The sequence below is a fragment of the Homo sapiens genome, chromosome 17 (assembly GCF_000001405.40).
Source record: "Homo sapiens chromosome 17, GRCh38.p14 Primary Assembly".
In the NCBI taxonomy this organism is placed as follows: Eukaryota; Metazoa; Chordata; class Mammalia; order Primates; family Hominidae; genus Homo; species Homo sapiens.
The window spans coordinates 58300964-58328914 of record NC_000017.11 but is presented as its reverse complement, the minus strand read 5'-3'; the positions used below and the strand labels follow the sequence as shown (position 1 = coordinate 58328914).

At 57.8% G+C, this 27951-nt stretch overlaps 1 protein-coding gene and 1 long non-coding RNA gene across 4 annotated transcripts in view, besides 12 other annotated features; one reads left to right on the top strand and one right to left on the bottom strand.

Annotated features, from left to right (window-relative positions):
• Window positions 1-3465, bottom strand: part of TSPOAP1-AS1 (TSPOAP1, SUPT4H1 and RNF43 antisense RNA 1) — a 28278-nt gene extending 24813 nt beyond the window's left edge. The window contains exons 1-2 of the long non-coding RNA NR_038410.1: window positions 3187-3465; window positions 794-865 (exon numbers count right to left, since the gene is read on the bottom strand). This is a non-coding gene — a long non-coding RNA (TSPOAP1, SUPT4H1 and RNF43 antisense RNA 1). The remainder of the gene's footprint in view (window positions 1-793; window positions 866-3186) is intronic.
• On the top strand, window positions 120-27684 carry TSPOAP1 (TSPO associated protein 1). 3 transcript variants are annotated; one of them, NM_001261835.2, is made up of 32 exons: window positions 120-1327; window positions 2125-2232; window positions 2494-2622; window positions 3202-3381; window positions 3913-4104; window positions 5370-5447; window positions 5534-5617; window positions 5876-5965; window positions 6139-6261; window positions 6503-6607; window positions 8334-8384; window positions 8786-8806; window positions 9621-9825; window positions 10463-10635; window positions 12375-12490; window positions 12783-12892; window positions 16193-17023; window positions 17193-17344; window positions 17702-18079; window positions 18164-18403; window positions 18757-18948; window positions 19535-20374; window positions 20974-21073; window positions 21153-21304; window positions 21947-22115; window positions 22529-22573; window positions 23050-23082; window positions 23272-23375; window positions 23457-23528; window positions 23744-23854; window positions 24516-24577; window positions 26468-27684. In NM_001261835.2, exons 1-31 carry the CDS (start codon window positions 995-997, stop codon window positions 24543-24545), a joined length of 5547 nt encoding a protein of 1848 aa, NP_001248764.1. In that variant the 5' UTR covers window positions 120-994; the 3' UTR covers window positions 24546-24577; window positions 26468-27684. The 3 variants fall into 3 exon arrangements, with proteins under 3 accessions (NP_001248764.1, NP_004749.2, NP_077729.1); NM_004758.4 differs by having other exon boundaries at window positions 22502-22573; NM_024418.3 differs by lacking the exon at window positions 3202-3381 and having other exon boundaries at window positions 22502-22573.
• Window positions 178-247: an enhancer, noted in NCBI's record as "active region_12464". NCBI's record gives its function as "activates an Ori minimal core promoter by ATAC-STARR-seq in GM12878 lymphoblastoid cells {active_cell/tissue: GM12878}" and the evidence as "EXISTENCE:reporter gene assay evidence [ECO:0000049][PMID:35858748]".
• Window positions 958-1067: a silencer, noted in NCBI's record as "silent region_8765". NCBI's record gives its function as "represses an Ori minimal core promoter by ATAC-STARR-seq in GM12878 lymphoblastoid cells {active_cell/tissue: GM12878}" and the evidence as "EXISTENCE:reporter gene assay evidence [ECO:0000049][PMID:35858748]".
• Window positions 1118-1277: an enhancer, noted in NCBI's record as "active region_12463". NCBI's record gives its function as "activates an Ori minimal core promoter by ATAC-STARR-seq in GM12878 lymphoblastoid cells {active_cell/tissue: GM12878}" and the evidence as "EXISTENCE:reporter gene assay evidence [ECO:0000049][PMID:35858748]".
• Window positions 1678-1737: a silencer, noted in NCBI's record as "silent region_8764". NCBI's record gives its function as "represses an Ori minimal core promoter by ATAC-STARR-seq in GM12878 lymphoblastoid cells {active_cell/tissue: GM12878}" and the evidence as "EXISTENCE:reporter gene assay evidence [ECO:0000049][PMID:35858748]".
• Window positions 3312-3860: an enhancer, noted in NCBI's record as "H3K4me1 hESC enhancer chr17:56402416-56402964 (GRCh37/hg19 assembly coordinates)". NCBI's record gives its function as "activates a minimal SCP1, AML or CMV promoter by ChIP-STARR-seq in primed H9 embryonic stem cells {active_cell/tissue: H9 hESC(primed)}" and the evidence as "EXISTENCE:reporter gene assay evidence [ECO:0000049][PMID:30033119]".
• Window positions 3998-4087: a silencer, noted in NCBI's record as "silent region_8763". NCBI's record gives its function as "represses an Ori minimal core promoter by ATAC-STARR-seq in GM12878 lymphoblastoid cells {active_cell/tissue: GM12878}" and the evidence as "EXISTENCE:reporter gene assay evidence [ECO:0000049][PMID:35858748]".
• Window positions 4128-4197: a silencer, noted in NCBI's record as "silent region_8762". NCBI's record gives its function as "represses an Ori minimal core promoter by ATAC-STARR-seq in GM12878 lymphoblastoid cells {active_cell/tissue: GM12878}" and the evidence as "EXISTENCE:reporter gene assay evidence [ECO:0000049][PMID:35858748]".
• Window positions 4318-4567: a silencer, noted in NCBI's record as "silent region_8761". NCBI's record gives its function as "represses an Ori minimal core promoter by ATAC-STARR-seq in GM12878 lymphoblastoid cells {active_cell/tissue: GM12878}" and the evidence as "EXISTENCE:reporter gene assay evidence [ECO:0000049][PMID:35858748]".
• Window positions 16161-16779: an enhancer, noted in NCBI's record as "H3K4me1 hESC enhancer chr17:56389497-56390115 (GRCh37/hg19 assembly coordinates)". NCBI's record gives its function as "activates a minimal SCP1, AML or CMV promoter by ChIP-STARR-seq in primed H9 embryonic stem cells {active_cell/tissue: H9 hESC(primed)}" and the evidence as "EXISTENCE:reporter gene assay evidence [ECO:0000049][PMID:30033119]".
• Window positions 18681-19380: an enhancer, noted in NCBI's record as "H3K4me1 hESC enhancer chr17:56386896-56387595 (GRCh37/hg19 assembly coordinates)". NCBI's record gives its function as "activates a minimal SCP1, AML or CMV promoter by ChIP-STARR-seq in naive H9 embryonic stem cells {active_cell/tissue: H9 hESC(naive)}" and the evidence as "EXISTENCE:reporter gene assay evidence [ECO:0000049][PMID:30033119]".
• Window positions 24293-24587: an enhancer, noted in NCBI's record as "tiled region #10051; HepG2 Activating DNase matched - State 4:PromP, and K562 Activating DNase unmatched - State 5:Enh". NCBI's record gives its function as "activates a minimal TATA promoter and a strong SV40 promoter by Sharpr-MPRA in HepG2 and K562 cells {active_cell/tissue: HepG2 | K562}" and the evidence as "EXISTENCE:reporter gene assay evidence [ECO:0000049][PMID:27701403]".
• Window positions 25920-26540: an enhancer, noted in NCBI's record as "H3K27ac-H3K4me1 hESC enhancer chr17:56379736-56380356 (GRCh37/hg19 assembly coordinates)". NCBI's record gives its function as "activates a minimal SCP1, AML or CMV promoter by ChIP-STARR-seq in naive H9 embryonic stem cells {active_cell/tissue: H9 hESC(naive)}" and the evidence as "EXISTENCE:reporter gene assay evidence [ECO:0000049][PMID:30033119]".
• Window positions 27685-27951: the final 267 nt, after the last annotated feature.

The following is a 27951-nucleotide window of genomic DNA, read 5'->3' as shown; positions in this document are numbered from 1 at the left end:
GCCCACCAGTCCAGCGCCATCACCATGGAAACCAGCAGCCGACTTCCTATTGGTGGGTGGGAGGGGAGGAGGAGGAGGAGGAGGGGAGGGCTGGCTCTTCCCGGCTCACCCCCCCACCCAATTCTGAGGCTCAGCCCTCCTCGGAGCCCACCATCTCGAGGCTCCTGGACTGTAAGGGACCCCTGCAGTCCCCAGAGCAGAGGCCAGCAGGGGCTGAGACTATGAGGCAAGCAGCCCATCGACCCAGGCCTCCTTAGGACCAGCCCAGCCACCCAGCAAGCGAAAGAGCAGCAGCAGAGAGCAGAGCCGGAGATAAAGGACCACAGCGGACCACTGGGGATCACCCCCAGCAGCTCCTGAAGCCTCTGGCCGGGCTGAGGGGTTGCGACAGACGGCCAGACCCACAGACACTGACAGACACACAACGACACCGATGCACACAGCTGCACGACACTGACACACTCAGATACAACCAGGGACAGCATCACATACTGCCACAGCCCTGCAATACAGACACCCACACACACACACACAAACAACTGGCAACTCTGAAATGGGCAGACAGTGACACACAGCACCACCCCCCTCAACACACAGAAGTGGGGGCACCCATCTTCCCAACACATGAGACAGCATTGACCTGCACGGACAGACCTGGAGACACACACACGCACCCTCACCCAGGCGCAGCTGTCGGTGGCCTCTGCACATCCTCCCTACCCCCACAGGGACACCCTCGCTCCTCCACATACTCGCGCACACACACAGCTACCAGCAAACATAGCTCACATACCCCTGGCTCCAGCTCCAGCAGCCCTGGCGCCTTCTGCAGCCTCCTTTGTGGGTGGGGAAGAGCTCAGCCAACCTTGGATGGAGCGTCGGTGAAGCAAGAGCTCAGAGGGGAGAGGGGCTGGCCTGGCATGACCCTCGCCAGTCCCCCCACCTGGCTGGGTGATGTCCCCCGGCCCGGGTTCTGGGGCCCCTTGGCAGTACCATGGAGCAACTGACAACCCTCCCACGGCCTGGGGACCCTGGAGCCATGGAGCCATGGGCACTGCCCACCTGGCATAGCTGGACTCCAGGTCGAGGGGGTGAACCTAGCAGTGCAGCCCCAAGCATCGCTGATACTCCTCCGGCAGCTCTGCAGCTTCAAGAACTGAGGTCTGAGGAGAGTTCCAAGCCCAAAGGAGACGGGAGCTCCAGGCCCGTGGGGGGAACTGACCCTGAAGGAGCAGAGGCTTGTCTGCCCAGCCTGGGCCAGCAAGCATCCAGCTCTGGACCCGCCTGCCAGAGGCCAGAGGATGAGGAAGTGGAGGCTTTCCTGAAGGTAAGGGATCTGTGGAGGGCTGGGGTCTGCAAGGTGGGGGTCTCTCACCATGTCCTCCAGCCTGGCCAGGAGGTGAGGCGAGGTATGCATCCCCAATGCCCACCTGTCCTCTCTTGGCCTGTCTGTGGGTCCATCTCTGTGGCTATCTGTCCTCTCTTCATCGAGCAGAAATCTGAGGGGCTCCATTTCTTTCGTCATTTGTCTGTCCTTCTGACCCTCTTTGCCTGTCTGTCTAGATCTGGCCCTGCTGCTGCCCCGTCCCTCTCTGTGCCTCCTCCTGACAGTGTGTCTGTCTGTGTCTCTTCTTCCATGAGTCTGTCTGTCCTTAGGGGCTGGGGGATACAGGGGGAGTGTGGAGGTGCACAGAGAATCAGTGCAGAGGAAGTAGATTGAGGGGAGGGGGCTTGGTGCTGGGCTGAGGCAGGGTTGGGGTGGGTGTGAGCAGGCTCCTGTAGAAGAGGGAAGGAACAGGACTTTGGGGGAGGGCAGGGGAGTCTGGAGGGATGGGAGTGGGAGCTCGAGCTCGCATGTCCCTGGAGGAGAAGATGGGTAGGAATGGGAAGGATCAGGGAGGAGCAGGAGGGTGCCAGGTTTGGGGGTGTCTATGTGGACAGGGAGGACTGGACAGTTCCTTCTCCTAGGCCTCCTCTGCTCCTCTCTGAAGGCCTGGGACATAGGGGAAACCGTTTCATCTCCATGTCTCCTTGGACCATGGATGGTGGATGCTTCCACAGGGAAGGCTCTGGCTGGGTGACGTGGGTTTCTGAGGTGCTGTCCTCGGTCCTTTCCCATGCCAGGCCAAGCTGAATATGAGCTTTGGGGACAGGCCCAATCTGGAGCTGCTGAGGGCCCTGGGGGAGCTGCGGCAGCGCTGTGCCATCCTTAAGGAGGAAAACCAGATGCTGGTGAGGCTTGGAGACTGGGGTGCTGCGTTCTGGCTGGAGCCAGGCCCTCTGCCTCAGTGCCCTCCTCACCCCATGAACATCTTTCCAAGTGGGGGCTCAATGGAGGTGACAAAATCCTGAGACCCAGAGAGGGTGAACCCCTGCCTAGAGTTGCCAAGGACCCCACTGTGAGCCTAGGGCTCTAGCCCAAGACTTGGGCTGTTAGGACTGGGTCTGTGGGGTGCTCCCTACATGCCCCAATTCTGCCTGACCCCTTGTCAGAGGAAGAGCAGCTTCCCTGAGACAGAAGAGAAGGTGCGGAGGCTGAAGAGGAAGAACGCCGAGCTGGCGGTCATTGCCAAGCGCCTGGAGGAGAGGGCCCGAAAGCTGCAGGAAACGAACCTGAGGGTGGTGAGGAAAGGAGGCTGCTGGGCGGAGGCTGGGTGACCAAGGAAGAGGGGAGCCAGGGCTGGGCCTGAGGGCTGTCTGAAGCTTGGGAGTCACGGTCTCAGCTCAGCACCTAGGAAAGCAAGAATCTAGGGGCTAAGGTGCAGGAAGGGCAGAGGCTGGCCAGGCAAGGAGGCCAAAGGTTTCTGGAGCTGCAGGGGGCAGAGAAGAGCTGGATGGGGAGGTTCCTGAGCAGGCAGGGAGCAGGATTCTGGATTACCACGTGCTGGTGCTGGCGGCAGCCTTCTGCTGAGCTCATCTCAGGGTATAGAGCTGGAGTGGGGGCAGGGATGAGACCCATCACAGTGGCAGCCCCAAATTAGCAGCATCCTTTGATCCTAAACTCAGATGTAGAGTTAATCCTTTCCAACTGCTGGGATGGGGTAGAGTGAGGCTGCTGGTTTTCTGAGACCCCAGTCAAGGTGGAAGCAGGTGGCTACCCCCCTAGGTTTTCATGCTAACTCCTCCTTTGGGAGGAGATGAGGAGTGGGAGAAGTGCCCCAGCCCTCAGGTGACCATTGGCCTTACCCCTCCTCTGGCTAGGTGAGTGCCCCCTTGCCCCGGCCGGGGACCAGCTTGGAGTTGTGTCGGAAGGCCCTAGCCCGCCAGCGAGCCCGGGACCTCAGTGAGACAGCCAGTGCACTGCTGGCCAAGGACAAGCAGATTGCTGCCTTGCAGCGGGAGTGCAGGGAGCTGCAGGCCAGGCTCACTCTGGTGGGCAAGGTGCGAGGAGGCCCTGGTCACCTCTTCCAGCTCAGCCCTGCACAGGGCCATCTGCCTGTTGTGGGATGCAGACAAGATGTTAATGAGACGCAAATGAAAGGGAGGGTGGAGGTTGCTGGGAGTAGGTTCCCCTGGCAACGGCCCAGGTGGGAGAGGGGAGAAGGGGGTGGAGCCATGAGTCCCAGACCTGGGCATTTCTGTGCTCCAGGCTTGAGGCTGTTTGCCGGTGGGTCTGGCTGTATGCATCCACACATCCCCTGTGTGAAGGGATGTTCACAAGGTATTTAGCACAGTGCTGGGCACATTGAGAGCACCCAAGAAATAAGTTACTGAGAATGACCGCATAGGGGCTCGCGGGAGCATGTGGCCACATACGCATGCACATGTAACCAGGCATGTACCCATGGGAGGGTGTGCACAGTCTCGCGCATCGGAGCCCCTCCAGCAAGGCGAAGGGCTCTGCAGGGGATGGCATGGGGCGGGCAAGGATTAGGCCTGAGTCCCCTCCCTGTCCCTGTCCCCCAACCTCAGGAGGGTCCCCAGTGGCTCCACGTGCGGGACTTCGATCGGCTGCTGCGCGAGTCCCAGCGGGAGGTGCTGCGGCTGCAGAGGCAGATCGCGCTGCGCAACCAGCGGGAGACGCTCCCGCTCCCGCCGTCCTGGCCCCCGGGCCCTGCTCTCCAGGCCAGAGCAGGGGCGCCTGCTCCCGGGGCCCCGGGAGAGGTGAGCGCCGGCGCAAGGGCAGGTGTGTGGGTGCGTGCAGATGGGTGGGGGGAACGACCACCGGGATCTCCCCTGCACCGTGCTCAGAACCCCAAGGACTCAGTGGTGGTGTGCGCACTCCCAGGGGCTGGGGAGCTTTCCCGTCCTGGGCAGGGTCCACCTCCAAGCCTCCCGTGCTCGTACCTGCGCCGTGCCCTCCCCTGGGGGCTCCAGGGTTCCGCCCTCCATAGGCCTGCGCCCAGCGGGGCCTGGCCGGCCGCCCCTGCCGCGCTGCCAGTGGTACGGCCCGGCCGCAAATCCCTGGTTGTCCTGGCAGCCGCCCGGGGCCCAGCCCGCGCCGCCTCCTCCCGCCGCCGCCGTAGAGCGGGGACGCCCCCGTCAGCGCCCGCCTGGCTGGCCAGGCCTGGCCCCAGCTACCCGGGGGCGGCGGTGCGTCCGCCCCGGCTCCAGGTACAGGCAACCCTCACTGAGCGGGGGGCTTAGGCAGCCCCTGTCTCGAGGGCCAGGGACCCGCTTAGGACCCCCAGAACTTAAGGGTCTGGCTTCTCGCCATCATCCTAGGTAGGCAGCAAGTAGGTCCTCCTCCTTCTGGGAAGAGGGCTGGGAGGAGAGACCAGGCAGTGATCTGATAGTGACCAAGACCTCCGGGTGGGGGGAGGCTTCTTGCTCAGATTTTGTCTCCCTGGCTGGCCCTGGAAGGGAGATGCACCCTCCCATCAAGACCTGTCCTCCCCCAAAGTTTGCACGGATAATCGGAAGGTGTGGTAGGGTGGGCTTGGGGGAAGCCAGGAGAAGGGTCTGGCTGGACTTGCGCTGCTCTAGGCCAAGCCCAGATTTGGATGATACAGAACCCCTATCTTGGGGAACACCACATCCCCGGGGGCCCAGGCAGCCTCCTAGTTCTCTGCCAGTCGCTGAAGGACACCCAGGACAGTTATTGAGTGCAGAGCAGGGCTGCTGCTGGAAGCTAAAAAGGGAAAGCTTTGGCCTGGATAAAGGACCCATCTCCCAGGGCACACGTGGGTCCCAGGATCTCAAAGCACTTATGGCTCCAGGACACAGGGGTGCAGCCTTTGTACTTACACATCAGCTGGAGACAATGGGAGGTGGGTGGGCAGACAGTACCCCTCTTTGCTCTTGCTAGGCAGGGATCTCTTGCTGGCTGAATGATGGGGTGGGAACCTGCTCTGGGCAGGCTGGGCTGGGGCAGGCTGCCCTGGGGCCCTGTTCTCAGGTGCCAGCCCCTTGCCCCTGGGCATTTCCAGGCCACGCCCCAGGAGGATGCGGACAACCTACCCGTGATTCTAGGGGAGCCAGAGAAAGAGCAGAGGGTGCAGCAGCTGGTAAGTCCTAGGTCAAGGGCTGGAGGCAGCCTGCTGTGGGCAGATGTACCTTCCCTCATGAGGAGCACTTGGTTCTGACCCCTCAGGAATCGGAGCTCAGCAAGAAGCGGAAGAAATGCGAGAGCCTGGAGCAGGAAGCCCGGAAAAAGCAGAGGCGATGTGAGGAGCTGGTGAGCTCTTGAGGGCAACCCAGAGGCCAGCTCCTCCCTTCACCCCGGCCAGCCAGGTGGTGGGCTCCCTCTCAGCTCTGCTCCCACCCCTGCTGCCCTCAAGAACACATTTTCCCTCCTGCTCCTTTCCTTTCCTGGCTGGTGCAGGTTCCAGCAGGGGAGGAAGGCCTTGCCTGGGAGGAGGGCAGGGTCCTCTGTGTGGGGAGAGGGGGAATGTGGGTGCTGGGCTCCCTCCTGAGAGCTCCTCTGCCCGCTCAGGAACTGCAGCTGAGACAAGCGCAGAATGAGAATGCCCGCCTGGTGGAGGAGAACTCCCGGCTCAGTGGGAGAGCCACAGAGAAGGAGCAGGTACCACTTCCGCCCAGGTGCTGTGGAGACCTGTGCTCCCACCACTGCCCCGGTCCCCAGCCAAGGGGCTTTCTCCTCCACCCCTGAGCAGGGGTAGGGTACTGTTCCCCCTGTGAGGGTGCTGGTGGGTCAAGGCTCACCCACCCAACTCCCTGTCACTGCCCCCTCGCCAGGTGGAGTGGGAGAATGCGGAGCTGAGGGGCCAGCTCCTGGGGGTGACACAGGAGAGGGACTCAGCCCTTCGCAAGAGCCAGGGCCTGCAGAGCAAGCTGGAGAGCCTGGAGCAAGTGCTGAAGGTGAGGAGATGGTGCAGGTGGGAGAGGGTGCTGGGCCCTGGCATGGGGAGCAAGTGGGACAGCAGAATATTCTTAGTGAGGGGCACTAGCTCTGAGGCCTGGGCCTGGAGCTGCTCCAGGCTCAGTTTCCTTTGTAATAGAGGAATCTGGAGCAAATGGTGTTTGAGGCTTCCTCATCTTAGATCTTCTCTAGAAATGGCCAAGTAGGGGCTCTGGCCTTGACTCAGATCTTGTGTTTCAGCACATGCGGGAGGTGGCCCAGCGGCGGCAGCAGCTGGAGGTGGAGCATGAACAGGCTCGGCTCAGCCTACGGGAGAAGCAGGAGGAGGTCCGGAGACTGCAGCAGGTGGGGCGGCAGTGAGGGAAGCTGGCAGGCTGCTGGACACCAGCTTTGCCACTCACTCATTCCACAAGCATTTACTGTGTGCCCGGCACTGTGCTAGGCGTCGGGGAGACTGTGGGGAACAAAGACCAGGTCCCTGAGCAGTCAGCAAATTAGCATCCAGGAGTGAGCTGATTTCAGACACTGATGAGCACAGTGGTGGAGAAGAACAGGGTGATGTGACAAAGTGACTGGGATGGGGTGAGGAGCCACTTTAGAGGTCATCAGGGAAGGCCTCCCTGAGGAGGTGACAATTGACCTTGCCAGCCAGGAGGTGTAGACATGCACATGCTCTGTGGCAGGGAAGAGCTGAAGAAGCCTGAGACCAATGTGGCTAGAATACAGCAAGGGATGGGCAGCGTGGTGGGAGTAGACAAGAACCCGATCCTGTCGGGCCTTAACGGCCATGGGAAGAGTTTGGGTATTTTGCTCTGTGAGTAGATAGAAGCTCCTGAAAGATCCTAAGTGGGGGAGTGACATGATCTGAGTCATAATTTTACAGGATCACATGGCTGGTATTATGGAGGGTGGACTGTGGGAGCAGGCGTGGAGCAGGGCCTGGGCGGTGGCCTGGGAGGGAGATGGTGGCTGTCTGGACAGAGATGCATGCAGTGGAACGGGAGACAAGTGCCTGGGTTTGAGTTATGTTTTAGAGATAGAACTGACAAGGTTCTGGCCGGGCATGGTGGCTCATGCCTGTCATCCCAGCACTTTGGGAGGCCAAGGTGGGTGGATCAGTTGAGGTCAGGAGTTCGAGGCCAGCCTGGCCAATATGGTGAATCCCCGTCTCTACCAAAAATACAAAAATTAACCTGACATGGTGGCGGGCCCCTGTAGTCCCAGCTACTCAGGAGGCTGAGGCAGGAGAATTGTTTGAACCCGGGAGGCAGAGCTTGCAGTGAGCTGAGATCGTACCATTGCACTCCAGCCTGGGCGACAGAGCGAGACTCCATCTCAAAAAAAAAAAAAAAGAATTGACAAGGATCCCCGTGGGATTCCAGTTGAATCCCTTCTCTGACAGCCATTTGCTGTATAAACCTTGGTGGAGGGTGGGGCTCTTCATACTCCGTGAGGTGAAGGATGAAGGGGCAGCAGATCTGAGAGGTAGGTCATCCCGAGTGCTGAGTTCCATTTGGGCCATGTCTGAGCTGCGCGTTAAACATTCAAGGGGAGCTGTCCACAGGCACTTGGATACATGAGCCTGGGGTTATGGGTAAGTTGGTCTTGGAGATATTTGGAGCCACCAGTGTGTTTAGTTGTATGAGTAGATGGGAGCCCTAGGAAGAGAGTAGACAATATAAACTGGGCCCAGCACTGGGTCCAGGGTAACCCTAACATTCAAAATGGGGGACAGGGAGCAGGCAAAAGAGGCTGAGAAGGAGCATCCAGAGAGGTAGGGGGGAAACTGGGAGGATGGTTGCTCAGGAAAGAGGGGAGCTGACTCAGCCACGCTTCTCCTGGTCCCCTTTGCCTTCTGGTCTAAGGTATGGTTCAGGGTGGGTGTTCAGGAGGGAGAAACCCTTCGGCCTCCCCCTTCCCTATCCCTCTTCCCTCTCTCCCTACCCTTTTCTTTCTCCCGGCTTCTTCCTCCCCTGCCTCTGTCCTTTCTACCCTTCCTCCCTCGCAGCCCTCTCTACTCCACCCCATTCCTTCTCCTTCCCTCCAGTATTTTGGTTCCCCCCACCTGTAGGCCCAGGCTGAAGCCCAGAGGGAACATGAAGGAGCCGTGCAGCTGCTGGAGGTAGGGCGCCTGGAAGTGGCCCCCAGTTCCACCATCTTGGGAGGAAGGCGGGGGTCCTCCAGATAGAGCTGAAATGGACTATGGCGGTGGGGAGAGGGGTTGCAGGAGGGGCCCTTAAATGCTCCAGGACCTGGGGGAGTCCCCTCCACCACTGGCCTATTTCTCAGGGTGGGCACGGCTGGGCAGGGGGCTCCCAAGTCTGGTGGCAGCAGTCTCCCATTGCTGCCACCCCCAGAGGCTGCCTTCACCCTGAGATATCCTTCCATTTAGGAACTGCTAGTCAGTCCAGGGAGCTGACTGGATGATATCCACTTAGGCCCCCTTCTCCGCCTCCCTCTCTGGGTTAGCAACCCACAGCGCTCAGGGTTCTAACCTGTTCTCTGCTTCCTTTCCTGCAACAGTCTACCTTGGATTCCATGCAGGTAGCGCCTCGTTCTCCACTTCCCCACACCTCTCCAGGCTGGCTGAGTTGCATCTCCTCCCTCAGGGCCCAGGCAGTCCCCCTCTCTCATCCAGCAGAGGGGGTGTCACTGGGAGCAGGCATGAGAATCCATAGGGGGTGGAGTTCCCACAGGACACGTGCGGCTGTCCCCTTGTCCCAGGCCTGCCGCCGTGTCTGTCAGACACTGGGCCTCCCCTCTCTAGCCACCCTGATCATGAGGAAGTTCATCACCAGTCTAACTTAGGAGCCTCGCCATAGTGGCCGGAGAGAGCCCCTGCTATTGGGACTCTCCTCAGACCTGAGAAAACTTCCCGGGCATTGGCCCATTCCCATCACGAAGACATCCCTGGCTCCCCTGTGGAATTTCCTGCCCGCCTCTCTCAGGGAACGGGTTTGAGTTGCTGATTGTGGGAGGGTGATGAGCAGTGGAGCTGAGAAAACTCCTGCGGTGATGGTGGTGATGATGGGGTGGGAATGATCCCTGTTGGCCTAGAAAGCAGCCAGAGGCAGAGGTGCCATCGCCTAGGGCCTGAGGGTTGGTGAGTGTGTGGCAGGCCCCGGCCTTGGCTCTGGAGGGGGCTGGGGTGAAGATGTCCCAGGACACAGCCCAGGACTTCACCCTCCGCTCTGATGCATTAAGGACAGTGGGGTGGCCAAGGCAAGGCTGGTGCCCAGGCCTGGGGCTGGGTGGATGGATATGACCTGAAACCCAGTGTAGGGCTGTGTACAGATGGCACGGGCTGGCACTGGGTAGCTTTGAGGGGCCTGGCGGCTCATGGTGGGTCTTGGCCCAGGCCCGGGTTCGAGAGCTCGAAGAACAGTGCCGCAGCCAAACCGAGCAGTTCAGCCTCCTGGCACAGGAACTCCAGGCTTTCCGCCTGCACCCGGGCCCCTTGGATCTGCTCACATCTGCCCTGGACTGTGGGAGCCTTGGAGACTGCCCACCACCCCCCTGCTGCTGCTCCATTCCCCAGCCTTGCCGGGGGTCTGGCCCCAAAGGTAAGGTGGACCCCAGTGGCATTGGCCTGGAATCCCCAGGCCTGGGCTTTTGGATAGAGCAGGGAGTTCAGGATCAGAGAAGGCCAGCAACTCATCCAAAGTCACACAGCAGGTTAGAGCTGTGCCTGGCTAGAACCACGTTCTGTTGGGGAAAAATAAAGCCCAGGGGAGTGACTGTCCCAGAGTCTGGCCCAGGCATCGTGGGCCACTGCTCCTCTCCTTCCAAAAGGACCTGAATGGTCAGACCTAGGGGTTGGGCACTAGGAGTCAGTAGCAGGCAGTGTGGCCTTGTGCAGAGTGGGGGCTTGGGGGTCAGTCGGATCCGGTGGTCCCAGCTCCACTCACTTGACAGTCACTGTGATTTGAGAATGCTGCTTAACCTCTCTGGGCCATAGTTTCGTAAGCTGTAAGACAGGAATAATTAAATGCATCTCATCAAGCTGTTTTGACGATCATGTGAAATAGTATTTGTAAATCAGCTATACCTCTATTTAGTAAGTTTCTCTCTAAATATTTCCCTTTTTGTAAGGAAGCCCGGCTATGGAGGGCCTGGTCCCCATATCCAAGAAGCACCACCCTATCTCCTGGTCCCTCCTCAGGCCACAGACCCCAAGCCCACGTGCCATCTTCTCTTTAGACCTTGACCTCCCGCCGGGCTCCCCTGGGCGCTGCACCCCAAAGTCTTCCGAGCCTGCCCCTGCCACTCTCACTGGGGTCCCTCGAAGGACAGCCAAGAAGGCAGAGTCTCTCTCCAACTCCTCCCACTCCGAGTCCATCCACAACAGCCCCAAGTCATGCCCTACACCTGAGGTAATTGCTGGGGTGGGGCCTGAAGTTCTGGCTTTGGCTTGGGGAAGGGTGCAGGGCAGGTGGCCCTGACCTCTTCTGGGGTCCCCAGGAGTTGGGTGGCAACTTCTGGGGTCCCAAGTTGGGAGGTGGGAGGCCTGTGGATTCCTCCTGTGGGCGAGGCGCTCAGGTGGAGCCCTTCCTGCCCTCCACTGCCTGCCTGCAAGCCCCACCTGGGGCCACCCCAGCCCACCCCTGGGAGGCCCAGGGAGGCTCTGGAGTGCTGGGCTGGATGGAGGAGACACTTGGGCACCAGGATCTGCATAATGAGACTGTTCCTAAGAGCATCTGTAGTGAAAGCAGGTGGTTGTATGAGAAAGCACATGTTCCAGGATTCAAATCCCAGCTTTGCCTTAGGCAAGTCACTGAGCCTTTCTGGGCTTCTGTTTCCTTATCTGAATCTTGGAGCTAATAAAACCTGCCTTCTAAGGTTGTTGTGAGAGTTAAATGAATACGGAACCTGCCTGTCTCAGTGTGGGGCACACAGGATGTGTGCTCAACACGGGGCAGCTGTTATTATTACTAAGCTCCTGGGCATCACTCATAGCTCTGGTCGTCAACTCATCCTTCTTTCTACCCACAAACCCCAGAAGGTGGAGGAGGCAGGTCAGAAGCAGCTCTGAGAGCCAAACATTCAGAAAGTGGTAGAACGAAGCCCTGGGCCTCTATTGCCCCCTCGTGGGATAGAAGGATGGTGCCAGCTTTGGATGTGGTTGTGGAGAGGTTGCCCACTTGGTCCCCTTCTCCCAGGCATTGGCAGAGAAGAGAAGACAGCCTGTTCCCCAGGCTACCCCAGCAACCTCAACAAGGGTCAGAGAATTGGGGTGCCCTGAGGTTGCGGTGCCCTGGGCTGTGGGCCGGGCAAGTAGACGGGAAGTTCTGAGTTCCAGAGCTGAACAGCAGACACACTGTCACTCGGCTAGAAGCAGGGACCCCTCAAGCTCCTTCTGCCTCCTTTCTGCCTCCTTGCTTCCAGCGATTTACAGTTGGGGTGCTTTGCTGAGGGGTTTCTTTTTTCTTTGTTTTTGTTTGTTTGTTTGTTTGTTTTTAGACAGGGCCTCGCTCTATCCCCCAGGCTGCAGTGCAGTGGCGCAATCTCAGCTCACTGCAACCTCTGCCTCCTGGGCTCAAGCAATCCTCCTACCTCCGCCTCCCAAGTAGCTGGGACCACAGGCATGCACCACCACACCCAGCTAATTTTTGTATTTTTAGTAGAGATGGGGTTTTGTTATGCTTCTCACGCTGGTCTCAAACTCCTGGCTCAAGCAATCTGCCCTCCTCAGCCTCTCAAAGTGCTGGAATTATAGGCGCGAGCCACTGCACCTGGCAACTTTGCTGAGTTTTTACCTTAAGGAACCAAACCAAACTTCTGTTGACACCCACTCCCCACACCAGCATGGCCTGGGCCCCTCTGAGATGAGGGAAGTGGCTTTATTTCCTGGCGGGTGCAGTAGAGGCTCAGGGAGGGGTCTGGGTTATCCCCACTGCCCCTGCCCAGGGCAGCTGGGCTCTGCCAGGACCTGCTCTCTCAGGCACTAATTTAGAGAGCATCAGGGGGTCCTTGCCACTGCTCCTGTGCAGCATGTATGTGCTCATTTTCCCTCCTTAAAGCAATAGGTCCTCTGGCTCAGCCTGGAAACCTGCCTGCTTGGCGCTTGGCCCCAGGCCCTGAAGAGAAACCAGCCCTTTCTGTTTGCCCCCAGGTGGACACAGCCAGTGAGGTAGAGGAGCTGGAGGCAGACAGTGTCTCCCTGCTCCCAGCTGCGCCAGAGGGCAGCCGGGGAGGAGCCAGGATCCAGGTCTTCCTAGCACGTTATAGGTGGGTCCCTCACCCTCACTGCCCCCTAGCCCAGCCCCAGCATTTGGGGTATAGGAGGGGGCCGGGTGGAGCTGGAGACCTCTGGAAGTGGTGGGGGCAGTACAGGACACAATGGACCTATTCTAATAACCTAGTTGGGCCAAGGTGGGTGCAGTGAGGGCTCAGCTTTGCTGGTGGTGGACAACCACAACCAAGTCTCCGTAAAGGCTCAGTGCAGTGGGAGAGAGAAGACAGGACATGGAAGTGGAGTGTAGGTCACTCTCCTCCTCCTCCTCTGTGCCTCCCCTAACAGCTACAACCCCTTTGAGGGTCCCAATGAGAATCCAGAAGCAGAGCTTCCGCTGACAGCTGGCGAGTACATCTACATCTATGGCAACATGGATGAGGATGGCTTTTTTGAAGGTAGGAATGTAGTGGGGGGTCATTCTGTCCATTCCCCTGCCTTTGAGCCCATGTTCCCAAAGACGGATATCCATCCATCCATCCATCCATTCATCCATCCATCCATCCATCCATCCATCCATCCATCCATCCCCTCTGCCCAGCGTGCTCAGCCCACCTTAACTTTTTGGTCTCAGCTAAAAGGCATACAGAGACCTAGTAGCCACTGGGGAAAGAGAAAGAAGGGAGTCTGGCTCCAAGCAGGACAGGACAGCATAGTCCAGATGGTGGAGAGAGTGTCACAGGAGATTTTGGCTAGATTCATTTTTGTGTGGATAGTCAGGGCGTGGCAGTGTTTCACAGTAGTGACACCTGAGGTCAGGTATGCAGCACAGATTTGATGCTGGACTCCAGTCAGGTATGCGAAGGAGGAATCAGGGTAAAGATCCCAGGGGAAGGTGTTCTCAAGCGGTTAGCAGCTGTCAGGGCCCAGGCAGGGTGTCTGCTTCAGGGAGGTTCTGCAGCTCCTGTGGGGAGTCAGAGGGCTGATCAGGCAACTCAAGGCAGATGCCTCATTGAGACTGGGCACTATGGGCCTGCGGAAGACATGGCCTTGGGAGACTCTCTCAGGGTGGCTCTGGCCTGGGTACCACCAGGCTGAGTCCATCAGCAGCAGAGAGGATGGCACTGTGTAGAGAATTGGATGGGGCATGGACAGGGCAGGGCGAGAGCCGCAGCTGTGTGTAGAGATTTAGGAACAGGCTTAGCTCTGAATCTGTAACCCTGGAAGCTTGGGAGCCTGCTCAGTTTCTTTTCCCTGGGTCCTCTGCCTGTTACTTGAGGAGCTGCTGAGACCCATGGTACCTGGCTTTGTGGCCTAAACAGTTAAACTCCCTACAGGGGTAGATTATGAAGATCAGAATTAAAAAGCTTTCAGGAAAATAATACTTTATAAATGAAGAAAAAAAAACCCCACCCAAATCAAAAACCAAAACCCAAACACTTTATTTTTGGAGGGGGCAGCAAAGGCATAAGTATTAACTAACCACAAATGACTAGAATTTGAACTCTGCGATCTGGGATAAATTGGGATAGATGTAAATGCCACCGGGGGCAAGATGCCGTATTCCCTGTCCAACCTTAGCTAAAGGACTGCTTCGTCTATGTCTGGGCCACCTAGGCTGTTCTCAGCTGCATGGGCTTCTGGAGCATGTGCCTGACTCCGGCCCAGGCTCCAGCTTCAGCCCTGCAGGCTGGAGATCCTCTTAGTGTGAAGACTCCTGCCTTTGTCTCCCACTCCACAGTGCTGGTGCTTATGATCGTTTCCTAGGGCTGCAGGAGCAATTACCATAGAGTGGCTTGAAACAATAGACATTTATTCTCTCACTGGCCTCTTCTGGAGGCCAGAAGTCTGAAATCAAAGTATTGGCAGAACTGCATCCCCTTGGGGGCTCTAGGGGAGGTTCCGTTCCTTGTCTCTTTTAGCTTACGGTGGCTCCAGTTGTTCCTTGGCTTATGGCCACCTCACTCCAGTCTCTATCTGTGGTCACCATTGCCTCCTCCTCTTAGTGTTTCTCCTCTGCATGTCTCTTATAAAAACACTTGTCATTAGATTTAGGACCCACCCGGATAATCTAGGATGATCTCATCTCAAGATCCTTAACTTAATTACATCTGCAAAGACGCTTTTTCCAAATAAGGTCATGTTCACAAGTTCTGGGGATTAGAACATGGACATGTTTTTGGGCGGCCACCATTCAACCCTCTACAGTGCTTATTATATCAGTGAATTTATTGACAGTCCCTCTTGTTTCTTCAAGTTCCTTACTTTTTTTTTGCCTAGCATAGGCAGAGAGAGAGAGGGTGGAGGTGAGGGGCACAGATGACTGTTGGGGGAAACTCCAGGCCCCCCTGCAGCTCAGACCTGCCTACACTCACCCCTCTCCCCTAAGCCCTGGCTCGTGCTCCCCCTTCCTCTCAATAAAGCACACCAGCTACCAGCTGTCTGTTTCCTGAGACCTTTTTTTCTTCTTTAAATTGACCGTGACATTACATGCTGGGTGCCCAGCTTCCTTGACATCCCTCAATCAAACAACAGCAAATGTTTTAAAATACTCTCTTGTCAAGTCTTCAGGAGAACTGATGCAGGTAACAAAACATAACCATTGGTGGTTGCCTGGATTGACTGCTGTCAATCATGCTGCTAGACACAGGCCTGCTGGGGCTCCTGATCCTTCTAGAACTTACAAGTGACTATTTCACTAGCACTTACTTCATTTGTCTCTAAAGATTCCTCCTTTACCCTGCTGAGTTGGTTGTCTCTCTCTCCCTCTGTGGATGTCTGCTGTTCACAAAGAGAAGTTGAGGGGCACCCTGGCCCCTATTCCTCAGGCCCAGGTAAAACCCAACCAGCAGAATTTTTTTTTTTTTTTTTTTGATACAGCATCTTGCTCTGTCGCCCAGGCTGGAGTGCAGTGGCGCGATTATGACTTCTAGCTTCTGCCTCCCGGGCTCAAGCAATCCTTCCACCTCAGGCTCCTGAGTAGCTGCAACTGCAGGCGTGCAACCACTCCCAGCTAATTTTTGCATTTTTTGTAGAGATTGGGTTTTGCCATGTTGCCCAGATTGGTCACAAACTCCTGGGCTCAAGCGATCTGCCTGCCTCATCCTCCTGAAGTGCTGGGATTACAGGCATAAGCCACCATGCCTGGCCAGTTTTCTTATCCTGACCTGCTTATTTTTTAAAACTTTAATATGAAATTATGAAATTATTATTGCAATTTTTAACACAAAAGTTTTCAAATGTACAGAATATATTTGAATATTTATATAGCCAGCACCTAGATTCAACAATTGTTAAAACTTTGGCATATTTGCTTTATATGTAGGTTAAACATGATTTTAAAAGCATTATGATATTTTACCTTGAAATACTCAACATGCTTACTTAGAACATGATATTCTCCTCCATCCTTGCAGCTTGAGTGTCACCTGGTGGCTTATTAGAATCACAGAATCTCAGCCCCATCCAGACCCAACCGAGTTAGAATCTGCATTTTAACAAATCTGTAGGTGATTCATATGCAAGTTAAAATTGAAGAAGCACTGTCCTATAGAACCAAAATACTATTATCAGACCTATCTCTAATCCAGATCTTTACTGCTCTTGTCTTTTAAAAGAATTGACAGTTAAATGTTGATTTGAATCAAATGCTGAAGATCACCCACTAGCAGTTGCTAAAATGCATTTATTATACCGTTTTTTCTTTATCTCCTCTCTGTCTTCCCCTGCCCTGCCCCTTCCTGTCCTCCTCCTGCCAGGAGAGCTCATGGATGGCCGAAGGGGCCTGGTCCCTTCCAATTTTGTAGAGCGTGTGTCGGATGATGACCTCCTGACCTCCCTCCCTCCAGAGCTGGCCGATTTGTCCCACAGCTCAGGCCCTGAACTCAGTTTCCTGAGTGTAGGTGGGGGTGGCAGCAGTAGCGGGGGCCAAAGCAGTGTGGGAAGGAGCCAGCCCAGACCTGAGGAGGAGGATGCAGGGGACGAGCTCAGTCTGAGCCCATCACCGGAGGGCCTGGGCGAGCCTCCTGCCGTGCCTTACCCCCGCCGTCTGGTGGTCCTCAAGCAGCTGGCCCACAGCGTGGTGCTGGCCTGGGAGCCGCCTCCTGAGCAAGTGGAGCTACACGGCTTCCATATCTGTGTGAATGGGGAGCTGCGACAGGCCCTGGGGCCTGGGGCGCCACCCAAGGCCGTGCTGGAGAACCTGGACCTGTGGGCCGGGCCCCTTCACATTTCTGTCCAGGCCCTGACTAGCCGGGGCAGCTCTGACCCACTGCGCTGTTGCTTGGCGGTGGGTGCCCGGGCCGGAGTGGTGCCCAGCCAGCTGCGGGTCCATCGGTTGACAGCCACATCTGCTGAGATCACCTGGGTGCCCGGCAATAGCAACTTGGCCCATGCCATCTACCTCAATGGGGAAGAGTGCCCACCTGCCAGCCCCAGTACCTACTGGGCCACCTTCTGCCACTTACGGCCTGGCACACCCTATCAGGCCCAAGTGGAGGCTCAGCTCCCACCCCAAGGGCCCTGGGAACCAGGCTGGGAGAGGCTGGAGCAGCGGGCTGCCACCCTGCAGTTCACCACACTCCCAGCAGGTATGTGGGCTTGGGCCCTGTTGTCCAGAACACCCAGGAGGCCAGGCCATGGGTGACGGAAGAAGGGGACCCTGATCTTATTTGCGTTATCAGGGAAATAGCAAATTGGGCAGGTATCTCTGATGGGGAGCGTCCTGCATCACTGGGTCTTGTGCCCCCCTGCCCCCAGGCCCACCTGATGCCCCTCTGGATGTGCAGATCGAGCCTGGGCCCTCCCCTGGGATCTTGATCATCAGTTGGCTCCCAGTCACCATCGATGCTGCTGGCACATCCAACGGTGTCCGGGTCACAGGCTATGCCATCTACGCTGATGGGCAGAAGGTATAGCCCTGCCCACTGTACCCTGGGAGTGGGGGTGGGTCCCTTCTTGCTATGCTCAGAGGTCTAGGCTCTCTGGCTTGGCACGGAGATGCCCAGCCCCTGGCATTTGGGTACCATGAGGCAGATGGGTTAAGAGCATGGGCTTTGGCAGCACATGACAGATTTTAGAACTGTTCCATCACTGAAGCCATATGGCCAGGAGGATGAAATGAGATAGGCCATGCAGAGGGCTTAGCACAGTACCTGGCGTAATGCTAGCTGCCACTGCTGTCAGTTAGCTGCCACTGCTGTCAGTGCATCCTCACGCTTGGCTGTCTCAGCCTCTGCTTCCCATCCTGTGCCCCCTCCACCCTGCAGATCATGGAGGTGGCCTCACCCACGGCAGGCAGTGTACTGGTGGAGTTGTCCCAGCTGCAGCTGCTGCAGGTGTGTCGTGAGGTGGTCGTGCGCACCATGTCGCCCCACGGGGAGTCGGCGGACTCCATCCCGGCTCCTATCACTCCCGCCCTGGCTCCGGCCAGCCTGCCAGCCCGAGTCTCCTGCCCCTCACCGCACCCAAGCCCAGAGGCCAGAGCGCCCCTTGCTTCAGCCTCCCCAGGGCCTGGAGACCCCAGCTCTCCTCTCCAGCACCCTGCTCCCCTTGGAACTCAAGAGCCTCCAGGAGCACCCCCTGCAAGCCCTTCCAGAGAGATGGCAAAAGGGTCCCACGAGGACCCTCCAGCACCTTGCTCCCAGGTACCCTGTCTGGGGAGAGGGGAGCAGGTGCAGGCTGGCAGAGGGACCTGGGCTTGGGTCCTTCCTCAGTGCTCTCTGTTCCAGGAGGAGGCTGGGGCAGCAGTGCTGGGCACCTCAGAGGAGAGGACAGCCAGCACATCTACCCTGGGTGAGAAGGACCCTGGCCCCGCAGCTCCCTCACTGGCCAAGCAGGAGGCCGAGTGGACTGCAGGAGAGGCCTGTCCGGCCTCCAGCTCCACCCAGGGAGCACGGGCCCAGCAGGCGCCAAATACCGAGATGTGCCAAGGAGGAGACCCAGGGTCTGGGCTGAGGCCCAGGGCTGAGGTAGGGGTTTGGGGACACACTGTGTCACTTCAGAGAATTGAGGCCTGTCTCCCTACCTTTTGCCAGCGCAAATCCAGTTGCCCTCTCTGCCTGTCCTCTGCTCTGGTCCTGCTCTCACACCTTTGGCTGTGCTATGTGTCTGTTTTTCTTCTAGGATTTCTCTGTCCCATGTGGCTCCCATCTCCCTTCTCCCACCCTGCCCCTGAGCCATGGTGTGCCTCCCCCATTTAGGACATGGCTCTTTCTCCCTCTGCCAAAGGACCCTTGTTACTGTGGCTGGGGCTGACCCTGCCTGGAACCCCCTGTGCCCCCTCACTGTCCTTATCTCTCCTGCCTTGCCTCACTTCTTGCAGAAGGAGGACACAGCAGAGCTTGGGGTTCATCTGGTGAACTCCCTCGTGGACCACGGCCGCAACTCAGACCTGTCAGACATCCAGGAGGAAGAGGAAGAGGAGGAGGAGGAGGAGGAAGAGGAGCTGGGTTCCAGGACTTGCTCCTTCCAGAAGCAGGTTGCTGGCAACAGCATCAGGGAGAATGGGGCCAAGGTAACGGGGTAGGGATGGGCTGTTGGGCCCCAGGCCTCAAACTCCGGGGCCTCCCCACTGTGTGTCAGCAGGTGCTCTGACCACCACTGAGTGCCAGAAACATTCTAGGTCTGTGGCCTGGGCCCTGTCCTAAGCAGAAGATAGGAAGTGCCCCAGGATTGGCCCCTGCCCTCCTGGAAAGAAAGGGGAAGGGGAGGAGTTCATTTCTGTACCTTCTCTCCCTCCAGCCCACCAGATACAGCGCCCTGGCCAGGGGAGGCCGGTGCCACCTAAGATCCTTGTGCTGGTAGCTTCTGGGGAGGGGATGGGGAGGCCTGCTCCTCAATGCTCCTGTCCCACAGGGGCTGGTGATGGTTCCTAGAGTGTGTTCCCTAATTCTTCCTTTGGCTCTCACTGGATATGTGTGTGAATTTGGGCCAGCCACCGTCCCTCTGGTTCTCTCCTCTCGGAGGAAGCCGTGGGAGGGCTGTGGGGTTGTCCGTAACCCCTGCCTTCGTTTGAGGGCAAAGATCGCAGCTCGCTCTCCTCTTCCCCACGCATCTCTCTTCCCTGCTGTGTTCTACTCCCACCTCCCCACCTCCACCAGTCCCAGCCCGACCCCTTTTGTGAGACTGACAGCGATGAGGAGATCTTGGAGCAGATCCTGGAGCTGCCCCTCCAGCAGTTCTGTAGCAAGAAGCTCTTTAGCATCCCGGAGGAGGAGGAAGAGGAAGAGGAGGACGAGGAGGAGGAGAAGTCAGGGGCAGGCTGTTCTTCCCGAGACCCTGGCCCGCCTGAACCTGCATTGCTGGGGCTGGGCTGTGACAGTGGTCAGCCCCGAAGACCTGGCCAGTGTCCCTTGTCTCCTGAGTCCTCCAGGGCTGGAGACTGCCTGGAAGACATGCCTGGATTAGTTGGTGGAAGCAGCCGGAGGAGAGGAGGGGGCTCCCCTGAGAAGCCCCCAAGCCGCAGGCGGCCTCCAGATCCCCGAGAACACTGCAGCCGACTTCTCAGCAACAATGGGCCCCAGGCCTCTGGACGACTGGGCCCCACACGGGAGAGGGGTGGCCTCCCCGTAATTGAGGGCCCCAGGACTGGACTAGAGGCTAGCGGGAGAGGCCGGCTGGGCCCTTCCCGGAGGTGCTCCCGTGGCCGGGCGCTGGAGCCTGGCCTGGCCAGCTGCCTTTCCCCCAAGTGCTTGGAAATCAGCATTGAATATGATTCGGAGGATGAGCAGGAGGCGGGCAGCGGGGGCATCAGCATCACCAGCTCCTGCTACCCTGGAGATGGGGAGGCCTGGGGCACAGCAACTGTAGGAAGGCCCAGGGGGCCTCCGAAGGCCAATTCAGGCCCCAAGCCCTACCCACGCCTCCCAGCCTGGGAGAAAGGGGAACCAGAGCGGAGAGGCCGCAGTGCGACGGGCAGAGCCAAGGAGCCACTCTCCCGGGTCCGTGCTCACTCCCCGCCCTGGGCAGCCCCTGCCTGCTGCCACCTGGTGGCCCTGCTTGCTGCCCACCAGCAGCTCCCATTCCACGCTGCCTGCCTCCATCAGCAGAGGTGGGGCCGGGCCTCCGGGCTCCCTCACCTGCCTCCTCCCACCCACATTCCACTGCTTTGCTGCTTCTGCTGATCAGGACTGGGATGCACAATATTCTATCACTAGTCGCCTGTTGCGGCCTGTGGGCAGGGTCGCCCTTTCCTCTGCATAGCTAGTAATGGCTTCAGGACGCTGACTGTGATGCCATGTCCAGGGTTACCTGCCCTGATGCTGACGGGAGGCCCTCCTCTCGCGGGCTCCTCAGCCAACTCCAGTCCCCTCTACTCCATTCATCTACTCGCAGGCTGGGGCTGGGGCCTCCCCTCCTGCCCTCCCTCCCACTGTGGGGGTGTCTGAGGTCTCCAGCAGGCTGGGCCGAGGCTCCGGGAGAGGAATGCTGTGCTCCTGCGCTGCTGTGCTGCTTACGCTGATGGGGCAGAGCTGGGGGAGCACGAGCCCACCAGAGGGATGGTGTGTTACTTTTGCCATCTGTTGCCCTCTTTTTGCAGGCAACAGAGACCGGAGAGGCCAGAGGGCAGGACGGCTCTGGGCGGAGGGGCCCCCAGAAGAGAGGTGTCCGAGTCCTCAGGCCAAGCACTGCAGAGCTAGGTGAGCACCTGATGGGGCTGGAGCTAGAGCTGCTCGGCCAGAGCTCGCTGCGTCACCGCCCTCTCCACTGTCTCCACAGTCCCTGCGAGGAGCCCCTCAGAAACACTGGCTTACCAGCACCTACCCGTCAGGATCTTTGTGGCTCTGTTTGACTATGACCCCGTGTCAATGTCGCCCAATCCTGATGCTGGAGAAGAAGAGCTTCCCTTCCGAGAGGGTCAGATCCTGAAGGTGACTGATTCGCCATCAGGGCTCAGAATTCCAAACACCAGCTGGGTCTTCCCTCCTCCCTCCTTTCCTCCACTGGAGGTAGCACAGAATCATGGTGGAGAACATGGCTTCTAGAGCAGATGACATGGGTTTGGACCTGACTCTGCTGCTTCTAGCTGTGTAACCTTGAGTAGATTACCTAGGCCCCCTGGGCCTCAGTTTTCTTTTTGGTAAAATGGGGATAATATTAGTGTCTACCTCACAGGGTGTTTTGTGGATTAAATGATCCAATGTACATAAAGTGCTTAAACTGCCTGAGACATAGGCAGCACAATCTAACTATCTGCTGCTGACATTACTATTTTTATTACTCCTCCAAGTATTGATTAAAGGCATTTTGCTATTGCTCTGAGACTAAGGAGATCCATTCTGGGGTGGGCAAAGGGCATGGCCATGTAGACAGTGAATGGGGATAATACAGAAAGGGCTGTCTTCTCCTATCCCTCTGATCCTGTTCTTTGCTGTTTTCCCCCTTTTCCCATTTCATGGCATACAAAAGGGAGAACATTCTTCTGCATTTCCAAGTGGGGTGTTGCTGGGGTTCGGGGCCTAGGGGCATAGGGAGTGAGCAGAACTGGCTGAGACCACTGGTTTTGCCTCCAGGTGTTTGGGGACAAGGATGCCGATGGCTTCTACCAGGGCGAAGGTGGGGGCCGGACAGGCTACATTCCCTGCAACATGGTGGCTGAGGTGGCTGTGGACAGCCCTGCTGGGAGACAGCAACTGCTCCAGCGGGGTTATTTGTCCCCAGATATTCTCCTTGAGGGCTCAGGTATGACCTGCTGCTGTCCCTCACCCACCTCCCACCAGCCCCCTTCCAACTCCACCTGACCCTGAGCAATTGTTGTGTCTGGGGTGCTCCCACTTACCCAGACTCTAGCAGAGCCTTGGAGCCTGCCTTGAACCCTGCTGCGTAGTGGTCAGACTGTACGTGGGCTGGCCGCGTGGAGTGGGCGTCTGTTGCAGAGGGGAATACAGCCATGCAGCCAGGAATTTTGGGTCCTGGAGGTTGGGTGGGGCTCTTGTCAGGGATGGGAGATGAATGCCCTTACGAAACAAGCTCAGTAACCTAGCACGGCCCTGAGAGGAAACTCCAGAGTCCCAGTCCTGTCTCTCCCACCTCCCCTGCCTCGCTTTCTCTCTGCTTTTCTGGATCAGGGAATGGTCCGTTTGTGTACTCCACAGCCCACACAACTGGGCCTCCTCCCAAGCCCCGCCGCTCCAAGAAAGGTGGGTAAGACCCCATTCTCTCTCAGGTGCTGGGAGGATGTGTGTGCGGTGGGGTGGCGCTGCTTGGCTGTCTGTTTTCTCTCAGGTGCTGGGAGGATGTGTGTGCTGGTGGGTGGCGCTGCTTGGCTGTCTGGGGAGGCACCTCTGGGTTTTTGAGCAGGTAAAGGGAATCGGCAGACCACCCACATCCCCTGCCTCCCCCCATGGGGGGCTTTGTTCCGGTGGGGATGAGGGATGGTTTGTGGAGCTCTCTGTTCCCACAGGCACCTGACTATAAAATCCGTGAATCCCAGAGCGTGCCATTTACCCTTTCTGGGTGTTAGTTCACTGCCACACAAAAGGGTTGGGGAGATGCGCCCTCGGCAGCCTTCCTTGCCTGCCTCCTTGTGTGTGGGCGAGTGTCTGGCCTGCGCTGCAGCACCTGCAGCCTGGGTGGGCAGGGTGGGAGGGGGCTCACAGGCACATTCTTTCCACAGCTGAGTCGGAAGGCCCTGCCCAGCCCTGTCCAGGTGAAGGAATATCCCTGGGCCCGGGAGGCTGGGGAAGGAGATAGGGTGGGTGGCCCCTCTGGCCTCGCCCCATTGGCTACAGCTAGTGGGGAGGTGGTGACAGGGGGTCAGCAGGGGTCCGGGGCAGAAGACAGGATGGGGTGTAGGGCTCTCCAGAGAGTCCAGAGTCTTCTCCTACTCCCCCTGCAGGCCCCCCTAAGCTGGTCCCCTCTGCTGACCTGAAAGCTCCCCACTCCATGGTGGCTGCATTTGACTACAACCCCCAGGAGAGTTCCCCCAATATGGACGTGGAGGTGAGGACCCTCAGATAGAGCCCAGCAAAGGGCGGTGGCAGAGCCTTCCTGGGCCTGATGCCCTCCTCTTGTTTTCCACAGGCAGAGCTGCCCTTCCGGGCAGGGGATGTCATTACTGTGTTTGGGGGCATGGACGATGACGGTTTCTACTATGTGAGAACATTGTTGGGGAGGGTGTACCATATCCCAGCCCCCCAGACTTCGGACAGGGGGATAGGCAAGGAACCCTCAGGAAGTCCGGAGGAATGGAACGGGTCACCTCCCTGGACAGTGGTTTTGGCCCCAGCTGTTCCCCAGGGGCATCAGAGTCGAGGGGCAGGGCCAGAGCCTCTTTCCTGATCTCAGTCTCACCGGCCTCTTCTCTCCAGGGGGAATTAAATGGACAAAGGGGCCTGGTTCCATCCAACTTCCTGGAGGGCCCTGGGCCTGAGGCAGGCGGCCTGGACAGGGAACCCAGGACACCCCAGGCTGAGAGTCAGGTCAGTGAGGAGCTGGGCTCCCAGCTTGGCAGGGCAGTCTACCCTACTGGTGGGGTGGTAGGGCCAGGGCAGTGTTGCGGCAGGGGTGCAGCTGGGGTGGTCATGCAGGTAAGCACTGTGTCCAGCGTGCAGCCGCTAATTGACCACCAGAGGGGAGCCCCACCAAGCAGCTGCCCCCCAGTATGTGCCCCTCTCTGCAGAGGGATGATAGCTGTGACCCTGACCCTCAGGCCATCTCGCCAGCTGCCAACACCTGGTGGCTGACGCAGGTGAGGGGGCCCTGTGGAAAAGGACCCCTCTGCCTCACACCTGTGGCCAATCAAAGTCCCTGTTTCAGGACACTCCCACCCTGGGGGTGGTCTCCATACCTCCCAGGTGCCTTTGGAAGCCAGTTGCCCAGCCAGGCCCAGCTTCCTGGGTTCTCGTTCCTTGAGCTTGCCTCTCCTTGGGGTGAGTGGAATACAACTAAGCCTCCACTCTCAGAGGGCAGGGAGAGAGGGTGAAGAGGCCAAGCCCCAGCCAGAAAACTCAGGGCTTCCATGTGTGAACACAAAGGCCTTGGAGAGTAGGGCCCACCCCTGCGCAGGGCCACCTGGTGGCCGGGCGGAGAAGGTGCGGGTCTGTCGGTAACCCATCTCCTCTCTTTGTTCCCTGTCCTCAGAGAACGAGGAGGAGAAGAGTCCAGTGCTAGATGGAGATAGATATATGTAGAGAGAGCAACATGTAAGTGGGGGACTGCCCCCCTGTGTGACCGTCCACCCCCACTTGACCATAATCAGACAGTGCTCCTTTGTCTCAAATACTGGAGCTGACCCAGCTTTCCCACTGTAGTCCAGGGAATGGCGAAGGAGAGCTTGCCATGAGCCAGATTTGCATGAAGAGTCATCCCTCCCCCTCCCTGCTCCCCTTGCCTTGCCTTTACCCAGGGCAGTGCCAGCTGTCATAGGATTACATGTCATCTTAGTGTGTGATGTCCCATATTAGCTGATGCTTCCTATTCTATAACACATGTGGTTTATAGAACATGACGTGACATCCATATTAGGACTCATCAGTGGTATTATGATACTGTGTGGCTATGGTATTATAATATCATAATTATTACTGGTGCCAGGGTGACACTGTAATGCCACCAGTAATAATAGGCTTCCCACCCTTGTCCTCTGCATTGTGACCTGTTAGGGTGATCAGATGCATGATTTACCTCCAACTCTCAGTTTTCTCTACTTGGGGGATAAAAGGGGAGGTTTGGCCAGGTGTGGTGGCTCATGCCTTTAATACTAGCTACTTGGGAGGCTGAGGTGGGAGTCACTTGAGCCCAGGAGGTCGAGGCTGCAGTGAGCGGTGATCACGCCACTGCACTCCAGCCTGGGTGACAGAGCAAGACTCTGTCTCAAAAATAAAAAAATAAAAGGGAAGTTTGAGTAGTTCAAATCCATAAATAACCCCAAACCATTATTCTCTGGGGCTCAGAAACACCCTCCTTTTGTTTCCCTAACAACCTCTCCCTCCTGGATGTTGTGGAAGGAGCCCTAAGAGGGAGTGGGAAGGGCCTGGGGCTCGCCAGCCGGCTATTGGCTCTGGCTGGTTGGGGGTAGATGCTTTGGCCTCTGTGGGCAGCCCTGCCACATCACTGCAGGCCTGGGGCGGGGGTGGGGCCTCGGTTGTGCACCCACTTTCCTTGCCTCTGGCCTGGGCTCTATAGTTGGTTCTGGCTGGGAGCCTGCCAGGCTCCGGGCAGCAAGTGGGAGTTTGAGGAAGGGAAGACATGCAGGCTGGCAAGAGCTGACAGAGCTGTGCAGGTACCAGAGGTGAAGGTGGGAACATAGGTGTAGGGGGCTTTCTGGTGGCTTCTCTGTTCTCCCAGCTCCCTGGCCTTAGATCACTAAGGAGCGCCGTCTGGGCGGGCTTGAGGCAAAGGGAGTGGAGTCAGGAGGAGATTCAGTAAGGAAAAAGATGCTAGAGCCTCCAGAGCCTGTGGTGGGGGCTGAGTGATGCCCCCAGCTGTGAGTCCCTCTGGGTCCTTGGCCTCCCGGCAGTCCTCTTAGGGGCCCTTAAGGGAGAGTCCCAATCTTCCTCCCCATGGAGTGGGTACTGGCTCCACACCCTGAAGGCCTGGGGGGGCCACATCTGCTGGGTTTGGGGAGACGCTCTTTCTGTCTATGAGGGGCTGTAGAAGCTACCTTCCTGGGCAGTGACAGCTGCTTCTAAGCAGTCCTTGTCCTTGCGCTCCATGTTTTTGGAGGGAGGTGACATGTGAGAAGTTGGGGGCACCCATCCTGAGGGGCAGGTTCCAAGAACTCTTGGGCCCTGTCAGCCCTGCACCCTGGAGGGAGAAGGGAAGGGGCCTGCCCAGGGTCACAGGTGAGCGATCCAGAACCGAGACTGCATCCCCTGGGACTCCCAGCTTAGTGCTCCCTCGGCATCACCCTCCCCATTCACCACCTGTGCTGTGTGTTTCTGACAGTGGTGGGAGGTGAGGCCCTGGTTCTCAGCGTCAGCCATGGTTCTGTGACATGGGAGGCTGCAGGCCCCTTAGGCTGTGGAAAAAATGGGTCAGGGGGTCAGGAGGGAATCAGGCCCTGACCTTGCTCCTTCTGTCTCACATTTCAGGACTGGGGCTGCACCACACAAGGGTCCCCAGGGCCCCCAGGTGGGCCTTGTACCCCCAGCTCTGGCAGCGCCCCCAGGATTGAACGTGGGGAGCCCCAGGGCAGAAGCGAGAAGGTGTGGGGTTTCTTCTCCAAGGGGAAGCAGCTCCTCAGGAGGCTGGGCTCTGGGAAGAAGGAGTGAAGCTGTGGCCCATCCTGCAGGCAGAAGAGGCCCTGAGAGGCCCCCAGATCACTGTCTCTGCTGAGCAGGGAAGGCTCAGACTGGGCCCAGAGCCCCCGTTCTTCTGCGTTAACACTGTGGCATTCAGAGGGAATCAAAGAGCCTTGGTGAAGGTCAGAGCTAAATGGCTCCTTAAGGATGAACTCTCTAGAGAAGCACCTTCCTCCTACAGGAGGGGAAACTGAGCCCACAGTGAGTATGTAACTTGACCAAGGTCACTGAGCCAGGACTGGACCCAGGACCCTCGCGTCCTGGTCCACCCACCTCGTCTACTAGTGTCCCACAGTGCTGCGCTAGTCCCTTCTGCCACCCTTCCCAGTCCCAGGACGGGCCCTGGAGGGAGAAAGGAGCCTGTGCCCCCTGATGGCTCTGGCTGTCCTGATCCTGTCTTCCCTCCCCTGAAGGAAAGTTTGCACTGGATTTTATTGGAGCCCCATCTCCCCAGCGGGCAGGCGGGCGGAGCCTGTATATATGTATATACTCAGTGCCTCAGTTCAGCTTCCTCCACCTCGCTTCCACTGCACAGGCCCAGGAAGGAGAAAGGCCAAGCCAAAGTGGGCCCCACCCTGCCCCCGTCGTGCTCCATCCTTCCCTGCCGGGGCCTGCTGGCCCCTGTAAGGTCCCGCCCCCAAAGACCCTGGGGCCAGCGGGGCCGAAAGCGGAGTTGGGTTTGCCTTATTTTGCTCATTGGATTCAAGTTCTTTTGCATAGTTTTCTTCTAACCCCTGTTGGAGTCCAGGGGCTGGAGAAAAGGACAGATTTATGCAGCTATTTTCATACATTCCCTGTTCAGAGTGGGGTAGGGGTTCTCCGCCGTTACCCGATCCACTCCATCCCCCACCCTCTGAGGGGTGAGTGTGTCTTTGCATGTTTCCTTTGCTGTGGTGGGAGATAGTTTGACTGAACCCCCACCTTGACCTTGGTCTCCAGGGGTGTGGAATGGTGGGGGAATTTGTTTAAAAAGACATTTTATTATAATAAAGTCTATTTTCACAAAATCTATGCTGGACTCTCCATGGGCAAAGGACTCCTTGGAGGGGTGGGGCAGCTGGGCTTTGGACTCTGGACTTCAGACCCCAGAAGTTACATCCTAAGGCTAACAGGGGCAAAAACCAATCAACACCACGAGCTTTTGAATCCTTTTCCTAAGAAGGTGGTTTGGTAGCTTCCTGAGCCCGTGGTCACAGGGTCAGATATTTGCTACTGGGGCTGGGGTTGTGGAGGAAGATGGGACAGACGGGAAACACACAGAGGGAAAGCACCAG